The sequence below is a fragment of the Homo sapiens genome, chromosome 3 (assembly GCF_000001405.40).
Source record: "Homo sapiens chromosome 3, GRCh38.p14 Primary Assembly".
NCBI classification, from domain to species: Eukaryota; Metazoa; Chordata; class Mammalia; order Primates; family Hominidae; genus Homo; species Homo sapiens.
This window is the reverse complement of record NC_000003.12, coordinates 104,847,354-104,860,313: the sequence shown is the minus strand read 5'-3', so window position 1 is coordinate 104,860,313 and position 12,960 is coordinate 104,847,354. Positions and strand designations below refer to the sequence as shown.

The 12,960-nt window shown below is 35.2% G+C and overlaps 1 long non-coding RNA gene across 5 annotated transcripts in view; it reads left to right on the top strand.

Moving 5' to 3' along the window:
• The window catches only part of LOC107986108 (uncharacterized), a 279,502-nt gene that overhangs the window by 49,669 nt on the left and 216,873 nt on the right, over positions 1–12,960 (top strand). For 3 of the 5 annotated variants that reach the window (XR_001740831.1, XR_001740830.1, XR_001740829.2), the window contains exon 1: positions 2,294–4,955. The exons of 1 other annotated variant lie outside the window; for it this stretch is intronic. This is a non-coding gene — a long non-coding RNA (uncharacterized LOC107986108). Of the gene's footprint in view, positions 1–2,293; positions 4,956–12,960 lie in introns of those variants that run through there. One more of the 5 variants, XR_001740832.2, reaches the window with a different exon arrangement.

The window sequence follows — 12,960 nt, the reverse complement described above, 5'->3', positions numbered from 1 at the left end:
GTTTCCTTTGTCTTTTAGAGCCCCAAAAGATCTCTGAATATGATATAAACTGAGAAATGTATTTTATCTATTTTCCTTAGGCCCATGAAACTGGCTACACTTGCCTGCTCAGCTATATTAAGACATGTTCTGAGGAAGTTTGAATAGCTAGATTCTCTCAGTCATAATGGTTGTATCCATTTCCAATTTTAGAGGAAGAATTAAGAGGTAGTTTAATGAATATAAAGGAAATTGGCTTTGGACTCAAACCTCATTTTTTTTCCAACTCTACTATTTACAGTTTTTGATTCTTAGAGAAATTCGTTATCTCTTCTCAGCTTGCATTTTTTTTTTTCATTTGTAATAATACTACAGGTTGGGTATCTCTAATTCAAAAACCTGAAATCCAAAATGCTCCAAAATCTAAGACGTTTTGAGGACCAACATGATATCACAAATGGAAAATTCCATATCTGACCTCATGTGATGGGTTACATTCAAAAGGTAGGGGTACAATACGTAGTTTACTCGGCATCCCCAAGGGGATTATTGTACACAGTAACCTTTTGTTTGTTTGTTTGTTTGTTTGTTTGTTTGAGACAGAGTCTCACTGTTGCCCAGGCTTGAGTGCAGTGGCACGAGCATGGCTCACTTGTTAGCCTCAATATTGCAGGCTCAAGTGATCCTCCTGCTTCTGCTTCCCAGACAGCTGTGACTACAGGTGTGCGACAATATGCCTGGCCAATTTTTTAAAAATTACTTTTGTAGAAAGGAGGTCTCTCTGTTACCCAGGCTGGTCCCAAACTCCTGAGCTCAAGTGATCCTTCAACCTTGGCCTCCCAAAGTGCTGGGATTACAGGTGTGAACCACCACACCTGGCCTATAGTAACCTTTTAATCAAAACGCAGCATCATAGATGAAGACTAAAATCCTGCCATTGTTTGTTGTCACTATTGTTTGATAACTGATACAGGTATTCTGGTGACGCTACATGCTGCTTAGTTACTCCGATCAAATTATTTTTTCACCATATTTACGGTATGTCACATTATTTATTGTTCAGTACTTACGTATAAATAAGTTTAAGAAAATAATTACTTATTGGTAGCATATAAATTTGAAGTCAGGAATGGTGGTGATGGCAAACAAACACAGATTGTCCACGTGGATGGATAAGATAATGATACCTTTGCTTTCTGATGCTTCAATGTACATAAATCTATTTTCATGCACAAAATTATTTTAAGTATTGTATAAAATTACTTTCAAGCTATGTATATAAAGCATACATGAATCATAAATTTTATGTTTATACTTGAGTCGCATACCAAAGACATTTCACATATATATGCAAATATCCCAAAATCCAAAAAAACCAAAATCCAAAATACTTCTGGTCCCAAGAATCTCAGATTAAAGATGCTCAACTTGTAGTACATATAACTTACAGTGTGTGCATGCATGTGGACATTACATGATATTAATAAAACACTTTACTAAATGCCCGGCACATTAACACAATAAATAAATGCTCTAATTAGTAATTACTATTTTTGATATGTAATTGTGATTTGTCTCACAGACTCTGATTACAGATCACATTAAGATGATGTCCTATGTCCTAGGCCTCATATTGAACAATATTTGGGCATCATTTTGTAATTATCCTCTGCCATCATTCAGTGCAAAGTTACCTATAAGGTAACTAACTTATCCTTTACTTGCCAAAGCTCTATTTTCTAATATCACTTAGGCCAAGGCCTCAACTACATGCTACTTTAATCATAATTGTTAATTTGTCCCAATTTGCCTTAACTAGATCACAATCTCTCCTGCATCCACTGTCTTATTATAAAAAAAGAAATAACAAATTTTGTTTTGACCTACTAAATTGGATCTCATCAGTATTAAATTAATTCTTTTTTTGATGATAAAATGTTTGACTTTATTCTTGTTTCTTAATTTGAATCTTTCATTAAACTTTTGAGCAACACAATTACTTTATTGGCAACTTTGGTTTTATGAAAATGGACCAAATGTCTAACACCAATGTATTATTACTTTCTGGGAAGTTGTGCCAAGATCTATAAAAATGACTCTGATAACTTCTGTCTGTACAGGAGTCTTTCAGCTCTTCTCCCCACCCACAGGGTTTTCCATTGTTTATTTTCTTCTGTTTGTCTTTGAAAATCTCATTCTCTGTAAAAAGAAAGAATACTGACAAATAAGAACATTTATTTCATCTCCCTTTTTCTTATTATAATGTTGTTTTCTTTGTGATCTGCCCTTCTCTCTTCTTTCATTCTCTATTATTTTGATTTCTTTCTTTTTTTTAAATGTAGATAATTAGTGATCTTTCCTCATCCTTTATTCAATTAAGCAGATAAATCTTGGATTCCACATATCTTGTCTACCACTGGAATACTCCTGATGTTTTCCCAGAAGCTTTCTTTCTACCAGGTATTTATCATGGCTTATGCCTATGTCATGATTTGATCTCCTACCTTCTGCTTCTGCCCCACATTGCTCTCCTTATCACCATTTGTTCTTGTTGTTTTTCTCAGGATACCAGTTGTGACAGGGGATGTCACTTGAGACTCAAAGCATTTTTTTTAAAAGACAGTTTGTCTATATAAAAGGTTATCCCACTCTCCAAAATAACACAGAAAAAACTGTCTTTTACAGAGAATGCATGAATTGACTTATACTTATATATAGTTACACTTCTTAATCTGGTACTTTAATCAATTCTTTCCAAAATATATAGAAAGCACCTTCCGTATGACATCGGCATTTCATGGAGTTGATGGACAGGGTTGAAAAGATCACTGAGACATGATCTGCTAAATGAGCTTTAATCGGCATATTATTTACCATGTTCATTATAAGTAAGAAAGATTGAGATCTTTTTTTCTGGTATGAGCAGATTTAGTGCTTCTAGAACTAAGATTATGCCTCTACCAAGGAATAGTTCAAATGTAGTGAATTAATATACATAATATGTTTTATATTAGACAGGAGTAAGTACCAGGAATAAGTGGCTGGCTGTGTTGATTGAGATTGTGACCATATGTAAGATGGGCAATTCTAGATTTTCATGATTTTAAAATCTTATTAAAAGACCATCACAAATTTGATAGCTTCCAGTGATACTAGCAAAGCTTTTCAACCCAGTACCCTACATTTCATAGAGCACTTTTGTCTATTAGTTTTACACAGAGTTGGCATTCCATCGAGGAAAATCTCCATAGTCTTTCTTTTCTTTGATTTAAAGGCTGATAGTATTCTTCCACAAGGCTTTCTCTAAACACATTGCACAGATTCCCTAAGGATGTGAATTGTAACACATTTTCAGTAGTGCATGGTGTGACATCATCAGACTCACACAAGGCTGATAGTTGAGAACCCATTCACAAAACAGCATGGGAAAGCTCAAGCCTTTCAAGGAACCACAATGTACTTTTGCAATGTAGCAAATTGTAATCCACAGGAGATGATGGCAGCCAAAGGAGAATCTCTTCTTTGTGAGATTTAGGAAGTAAAGTTAAGGGCTTCACGATGTAGAATCTTTTTTTTTTTTCCTTTACATTAAAAGAACCCTATAATTAGTGTTTCTACAGTCATTGCTGAGATACTGTTAAGAGAACCAGATTGGCAGGTTTAAAGGGTATTTTACTTTCTACAAATCCTGGGAAGATACTCTTCCCTGAATTTTTCACCTCATGCTTTTACTAGATGCCAGTTGCAGAGACTATGTTATGGCTTGTCTAGGAGAGAAAGGATAAATGTGTAATCCACATGCTAGTAAGCACTAAACAATGAAATAATAAGCTCCTGGAAGACAGTAAGCAGATAAGGTAAAGCTCTAACAACTGTTATAGTGGAACAGTGATGGTTTCCTAATAACTAAAGAAAAAACAACCATAAAGGGAAGGAAGGATGAGAAATATAGGTGGTGGTTGCAAGTAACATTTAGTATCTAAGGTGTCATTTTCCCACCAAGAATGCATATGAATAAAACCATTCCCACCACAGCTGAAGTAATCTGCAAGAGCACTTTGTAGAAGGGATTCCATTAAAAATTGCTTCTAAAAAGACATTAGCAGATTTTCTTTCCCTAACTTTGTCATTTCACAGGTGTAAGAAATATAAATTGTTATAGTGATAGCCAGAAGAGAAATGATTAATGAAATATTTTTAATCAGCTAAGAATGCTGCTTCAGTGACTGTTTTAAGCAGTTTCACAGGGAAAGATAATTTTCTTTAATTAGTATACTGGCTTTGAATAAAGGAAGCAACCAGTTTGGTGTTGTTTAGCATGAACAAAATATGTATAAAAGCAGATGAAAGAGATTAACATGATAAAGGAAGAAATTCTCTGCAAGGTAAGGACAGGGATTTTTCTTGGATGTTCATGACTAATAGTTTCTCCGAAGCCCAGTGAAGAGTGATTTGTGGTTGGCATAATCATACTGCAGTGATGCAGGCATTTTAAAATTTTTCTACATATTTAGGATTATGGTTAGTGTTTGTTAAAAACTGCTCATTTCTCAGTGTGAATTTGGTTATTTTGAACGAAATTTATAATTTTTGTTATAAAATTATAAATTAAAAATACTGTTTAGACAATAAAAAATGAGTGTTACCTGAATAAGAAGAATCTGACAATTCCATTAACATATTTTTTGGCAGAGATTATGTAAAAATTAGAGATAATCTCATTTCCATTTCTTGCAGGTTCTGAAAAGGTCTAATTTCTTTTTGGATGACCCAATCTTTAGGCATTATATTGCCAGAGATATATAAGTCCCTTCTAAGCTCATTTGTTGTTGGAAGAATTTGTTTCCTTGTATTTATAGGACTGAAGTCCTGTTCTCTTGCAGACTGCTAACTCAAGATCACCCTCACCTTCTGGAGGTCACCCCTCTTCATCAGCAGTCCACAAGTAACTGTCTTGATTTTTTGTTTTTCTCGATGTAAGTATAAGTGAGCGTTTCTGAGGGCTTTTGCTACATCTGCTTCTTCTGCCTCTAGCTGGAGAAAGTTCTCTGTTTTTAAGTGCTCATGTGATCAGATTGGGACCACCTGCATAATCCTAGATACGCTCCCCATTTAAACCCTGTAACCTCTATCACATATCACATCTGGAAAGTTCTTTTTTTTTTTTTTTTTTTTTTTTTGCCATCTAAGGTAACATGCTCACAGTTTCCAGGGATTAAACTGTAGATAGCTTTTTGGGGGACCATTATACCTACCAGAGAAGGGCTTTAGGAAAAAACAGTTTTAAATACATTTGTTTAAAAAGATATAATTTTTGTTAATTTCTGTGCAATTTCTTCATAAAACACAAAACTTTCTAAGACAAAATAAAAAGATAAATATTTGGCACAGAATGCATAGTTATACAGATAATAATTTTGAATATAGAATTCCTATCAATTGACCTTGTCATGTGGAAAAATAATTTAAAACTCTTTTTTTAAAATTTTATTCATCCGGCCAACAAAAATTGTGAAAGGTTTTGAAATGGGGGAAAAAATTATTGATGTTCTGACCGGTTAACTTCTACAGGTATCTCTGCCTATCATTGACTTTGAGCCCATAAATTGTTGAATACTGACTATAATGCAAATTATGCTTGCATATACAAATGCAAATTAGTTGTTTCCAGGGTAATGCAAGTGATTATTGCCCTGTGGATAGACCCATTTTGCATCTACTTGTATATTCAATTCAGAATTCTTTATTCATTTTGTATGTATTATTCTTAAAATTTTCTTTTGACTTGGTTGTAATATCTTACTGGTTCTCACAGTAATGGATGATTTAGATAGAATCTTTGATATGTGTTCACTGTATACTTGTATGTGAACCATAATTTCTCCCTTTTTTAAAAAGTGACTCTTAAAAAATTTTAGAAAAGGGATAACCATTTTCCCTCTTTTTTATACTTCCTTAACACTCGTAGATATTTTTCAGTTGGAAGATGTTCAAATAGGGTCCTTCATTTAGAAACTTTCTCCTCTGGTGTGAGATATCCCCCAGCTCATGCAGACATGCTGAAAGACATACATCAGTACTCTACAAAGGAAAGGTAATGAAAGCCATAAATATGAGTTACTTATGTAATTTTAATTTTTCTAGTAGTCATATTTTAAAAAGTAAAAAGAAACAGGTGACATTAATTTTAATAATCTAATTTAACCCAATATGTACAAAATGTCTTCATGACAACAGGCAATCAATATAAAAATTATTAGAGTTATTTTACATTTTATACCAATTCTTCAAAATCTGTTGTGCATTGTACACTTACAACACATTTCAATTTAAGCTATCTGTATATTAAGTGTTCAATAGCCACATATGGCTATTGGTTGCCATATTAGCTGTGCAGCTCTGGAGATATTCTGGATTCTGCTTATTTTCAAGACAGTTCTCATAGACTGTAATGAATTTTTTGAGAGCCCAATTTGCTTATTTTTATTCTGATAGCCATAATGTTTGTTACTTACAATAATATCTCTAATTGGTATTCAATAAACAAAATATAAATAATTTTTATTTAAATAGATGTTTTGACTTACAAAACACATTCATATTTATTAGCTCACTAGATTTTAACATTAGTAATATTTTATGCCATTTCTTAAAGAAAAAAATCAAAGATGTCAGAAAATTCACAATTAATATGAGTTAAAACCCAAACCTAGACATTTTCGTTGTTGTGCATATTTGTCAAGATGTTAGGCTATGCTGCCATAAACATTTTGACATATAAAACCTCCAAATCACAATAAACATTCAAAATCAAAATAAATTTCTTAACATATAAAAGTTTTATTTCTCGCTCATATCAGAAAACATTGTAAGGTGCCACTCATCAGGTCTCTGCTCCTAAATTTGAATCAGTCATCCAGTCCACCTCCATCTTGCAACAACATCCTGTAGGTTTATTTCATTTCCATTCATGTGAATGAGAGCAGGGAGAGGAATCACCTGCTATTAACGCTCTCAATTTTGCTGACATCCTTTTGGTAAGTTAGTCACGTAACTCAACCAGGATGCATGCCACTGGGGAATTTAGAGGACTATGGGGATATTTGGTTTACAGTAATAATCTCAGTCACACTGAACCATGGTCAATTCAATAATTTAGACAATTTTATTTTATCTTTTGATATACAGAAAGATTGTGTCTTGTTTCCAGTATAAATGTCTGAAATGAAATTTGCTGCCTTCTCTTTCCTACGTTATGGTTTTTCCATTTTGTCTAATGGTGTAACGATTTTCCGACACATTTTGAATCTTCATACTTTATTGTCTTTTATACCCATTTTACTGACAAGTCCTGCATATTTTAACCATAAAGCTCTTTCACATCATCCTTTTTTTCTTTTTCTTTTTTTTCCTTTTTGAGACAGAGTCTCGCTCTGTTGCCCAGTCTGGAGTGCAGTGGCACAATCTTGGCTCACTGCAAGCTCCGCCTCCCAGGTTCATGCCATTCTCCTGCCTCAGCCTCCCGAGTAGCTGGGACCACAGGCGTCCGCCACCACGCCTGGCTAATTTTTTGTATTTTTAGTGGAGACTAGGTTTCATTGTGTTAGCCAGGATGGTCGCCATCTCCCGACCTCGTGATCCACCTGCCTCTCACTCCCAAAGTGCTGGGATTACAGGAGTGAGCCACCACGACCGGCCCACATCATCCTTTTTTTCATTTCTACAATTACGATTCTATTTCAAGCCTCATAACTCATCCAAATCTTTCTAATAAGTCTGTGATTTTTTTTTCTGAATTTAGTTACTCTTCACTTTTTACTTGAATACTGGCTTTACCAGTAATTAATTGTATGAGGTTTGCATGTTGCTCAACTTTTTGGGCCTCTGTTTCCTCATCTGTAAAATAGAAAATAGCAACATTTTAATATAACAGGAGGATTAAATAAATTACAACATATAAAGTGCTGAGTAGGGTTTTGAGTACAGTTATCCCTCAGTATCCACAGGGGATAGGTTTCAGGACCCCTGTGGATACCAAAATCCATGGATACTGAAGATTTTTATATGAAATGTCATAGCATTGGCATAAAACCTATGCCTATCCTCTCGTCTACTTCAAATCATCTCTAGATTACTTATAACAGCTAATACAATGTGAACAACATGAATTGGTTGACTGTATTGTTTTTAAAATCTAATGATTGTATTATTCTTTTTTCCTCTTTTTCTTTTGATATTTTTGATCTGCAGATGTAGAAATTCTGGATATGGAGGGAAGACTGTATACTACACACTAGAACATTAGCTCTTACTGCTAGCACTTATCTATCAGTGCTTCTCTTTTAAAATTGTGCTTTAATTTAATTTTGTGACAAATTGTAATTACATGTAATTATGGGGTATATAGTGATGCTATATGTATACAGTGTGGGATGATTGAATCAAGCTAATTAACATAGCCAACATCTTAAATACTTATTATTTATTTCTCTTGTTTAACTACAACTTTGTATTCTTTCACAAGCATCTCACTCCTTCCTTCTACCTTCCAGTCTCTGGTAACCACTATTCTACGGACTGCTTTTATTTGAGTTTAATTGTTTTAGATTCCACCTAAAAGTGGGAATATGCGGTATTTGTCTTTCTGTGCCTTGCTGATTTCACTTAGCATAAGGTTCTTTCACGTTGTCAGAAATGACAAAATTTCACTCTTTTTAAAGGCTGAATAGTATTCCATTTGGTGTGTATACCACATTTTCTTTATCCATTAATTAATTGATGAACACTAAGGCTATTATGAATAAAGCTACAATAAAGATGGGAGGGCAGGTATCTCTTTGACATACTGATGCCTTTTATTTTGAAGTTTTCATTATGATCCAGCATTGTAAATCTCTTAGTTTGGTATATGAGGCCTTCCACAATGAGATGCCAAGTTATTATTATAGAACTCTCTATCAATATCTCCAGCTAAACTGAGCCATTCCTTATTTTTCAAAAACTACTTCCAAATATCGTTCCTTGTATTCATGATCTTCTCTTGGGGCAGGTTTCTTTTGCATTTCTATCGAAAATCTTATCTGCTTATTGATACATTAGCAATGAATAATTTCCTGATCCTGCAAAGGGTAGAGGGAAGAGGTAGAAAGGTGGCAAGAAGGGAAACCATAAAAATAAATTTTAAAATAACCTAGTCATTCTAGGGGAAAGTGTTTCATCTTCCTGAACAACACAATCCTTGGTTGCTAACCTCCTGTATCAGCCAGGAGGTTATATTATTGTTATATATATTTACAAAGACACACACACACACACACACACACACACAAATATATGAGAGAGATTTATTATATGGAATTGTTGCAACTGAGGGGACTGAAAAGTGCTGAGATCTGCAGTCTACAAGCTGGAGACCCAGGAGAGCCAACGTGTAGTTCCAGTTCAAGTCCACAGGCCTGAGAACTAGGAAAGCTCATGGTACCAATTCCAGTTCTGAAAGCTGCCAGGCTTGAGACCCAACAACTAATGATTAACTGAGTCTGAAGGTTGGGAAAGAACAGTGTTCCAGTTTATGCAGCCAGGTAAAAGGAGTTTCCTCTACTCAGCCTTTTTATTCTATCCAGGACTTCAATTGATTAGGTGAGGCCCTTCCAGATTTGGGAAGGGAGTTGTATTAAGTCTATTGATTCAAAGTTAATCTCACCAAGAAGCATATGTCTCTTAGACATAGCCAGAATAAGGTTTGGCCAAATGTTTGAGCAGCCATAATATCTTTATTTTACTTATTGCTACTTTTTAAGTTTTTAAAATAATATAGTTATATATTTAAATATTAATAATGACTCTCTTATTTTTCCATCTGTGAATTTTCAAAGGAAAAAACCATGTTTCATTTTCAATTTCCTTTTCAAGAAACTGTACAATGATGTACAACCTACACACTTTAGAAAAAATACCTAACAGATCTTGAATTTGATCATATGACTCAAGGGGATGTAGTAATTATTAAACAACCAGCCTTTCTAGCAGCATTAATTTTAATCTTCATAAATAGTACCCAGTGGCCCAAATGAAATAGTCAATGAGCCACCACTTGTTATGAAATTCTGTTTTAGCAGACAGACTATGATTCCAAACAGTGCAATCAATTGGTACAAGTTTAAAGTCAGAAAATAAAGGGATAACTTAAATTTATAAAGACTAACTATATTTTCAATACATTTTAAGTGATATGGAAAACCTATAACAACTTCTATTCCATTCTGCAGGTCACCCTTTTAAAAAAGAATACTTTACTATTTTTCTGGAATATTGTGGAGGTTGATTTTTAGTTATAGTCTTAATTTTCTTGACATAAATTTGTTAAGTCAACAAATCTTCTGTAACTTTCTACCTATTATAATTATTGGAAATGTTTAAATGTTATTCTTTTCAAACTAATAAATATGAAAGTTCTTTTCAATAAAAGTCTACAGATATGAATTTATATTTATTTTAATTTTAGTAATATCATTTTTGTTTCTATTTATTAAAATTGCTAGAGATTTCCCAAATACAGCCCTTCTTCAAACAACATATATAATATGTATAAAACATTATATTTTATATATAAAAAATTATATATAATATATATTCAACTGTTTTAAAATAATATTTGATAAATATCATTTATTTATTTATTTATTGATAAATATTTATTAGTTTATTAGTTATTGCTAACATTGCACAAACAGAAATAAATTTCCTCATAATTATTTTACTTTTTATGACTCATTATGTATCGATCTACAAATAGTCTATAAATGATAAAGCAATTAAGACTTTCTTTATATGAGAAGATTAGGGATTAGACTCTCCTCACAAGGAACAAAGCAACATACACTGTGAAATTAGTGTGGATTTGTTTCTTTTAATAACACTCAAGCTAAAATACATGTTTGACCTTAGCTGGCATTAAAATTATTTCCTAATGTATTAGTCCGTTTTCATGCTGCTGATAAAGAAATACCCAAGATTGCGCAATTTACAAAAGAAAGAGGTTTATTGGACTTACAGTTCCACATGGCTAGGCAGGCCTCAAAATCATGGTGGAAGGCAAGGAGGAGCAAGTCACATTTTAAGTGGATGGCAGCAGGCAAAGAGAGGGCTTGTGCAGGGAAACTCTCATTTTAAAACCATCAGATCTCATGAGACCAATTCACTATCAATGAGAACAGCATGGGAAAGACCTGCTCCCATTATTCAATCATCTCCCACTGGGTTCCTGCCATGGTATGTGGGAATAATGGGAGCTACACGATGAGATTTGGGTGGGGACGCAGAGCTGAAGCATATCATTTCACCCCTGGCCCCTCCCAAATCTCATATCTTTACGTTTCAAAACCAATCATGCCTTCCCAACAGTCCTCCAAATTCTCAACTCATTTCAGCATTAACTTGCAAGTCCACAGTCCAAAGTCTCATCCAAGACAAGGCAAGTCCCTTCCACCTATGGGCCTGAAAAATCAAAAGCAAGTTATCTACTTCCTAGATACAATGGGATACAGGCATTAGGTAAATACAGCCATTCCAAATGGGAAAAATTGGCCAAAACAAAGGTGCTACAGGCCACATGAAAGTCCAATATCCAGTGGGGCAGTCAAATCTTAAAGCTCCAAAATGATTTACTTTGACTCCATTTCTCACATCCAGGTCATGCTGATGCAAGAGGTAGGTTCCCTGGTCTTGGACAGCTCTGCCTCTGTGGCTTTGCAGGGTACAGCCTCCCTTCTGGCTGCCTTCAGGGCTGGCATTGAGTGTCTATGGCTTTTCCAACTACCACAATGCAAGCCATCACTGGATCTGTCATTCCAGGGTCTGGAGGATGGTGGCCCTCTTCTCACAGCTCCACTAGGCACAGCCCCAGTAGGGACTCTGTGTGGGGGGCTCTGACCCCACATTTCCCTTCTGCACTGCAGAGGTTCTCCATGAAAGCCCCACCCCTGCAGCAAACTTCTGCTGGGGCATCTAGTTGTTTCCATACATCTTCTGAAATCTAGGCAGAGGTTCCCGAAACCCGATTCTTGACTTCTGTGCACTGGCAGGCTCAACACCATGTGGAAGTTGCCAAGACTTGAGGTTTGCACCCTCTGAAGCCATTGGCTCCTTTCAGCCATGGCTAGAGTGGCTGGGATGCAGGGCACCAAGTCCCTAGGCTGGACACAGCATCAGGATCCTGGGCCCAGCCTAGGAGACCACTTTTTCCTCCTAGGCCTCTAGGCCTGTAATGGGAGGGTCTGCTGTGAAGACCTCTGATATGCCCTGGAGACATTTTCTCCATTGTCTTAGGGATTATTTGGCTCCTCATTATTTATGCAAATGCCTGCAGCCCACTTAAATTTCTCCTCAGAAAATGGAATTTTCTTTTCTATCACATTGTCAGGCTGCAAATTTTCTGAACTTTTATGCTCTGCTTCCCTTATAAAACTGAATGCCTTTAACAGCACCCAAGTCAATTCTTGAATGCTTTGCTGCTTAGAAATTTCTTCCAGCAGATACCCTAAATAACCTCCCTCAAGTTCAAAGTTTCACAAATCTCTAGGGCAGAGGCAAAATGACGTGAGTCTCTTTGCTAAGACATAACAAGAGTCACCTTCACTTCAGTTCTCAACAAGTTCCTCATCTCCATGTGAGACCATCTCAGCCTGGATTTCATTGTCCATATCATTATCAGCATTTTGGGTAAAACCATTCAACAAGCCTCTAGGAAGTTCCAAACCTTCCCAAATTTTCCTGTCTTATTCTGAGCCTTCCAAACTCTTCCAACCTCTGCCTGTTACCCAGTTCCAAAGTCACTTTCACATTTTCAGATATCTTTTCAGCAGCGCCCCACTCTACTGGTACCAAATTACTATATTAGTCCATTTTCATGCTGCTGATATATCAAGACATACCTGAGACTGAACAATTTACAAAAGAAAGAGGTTTTTTGGACTTACAGTT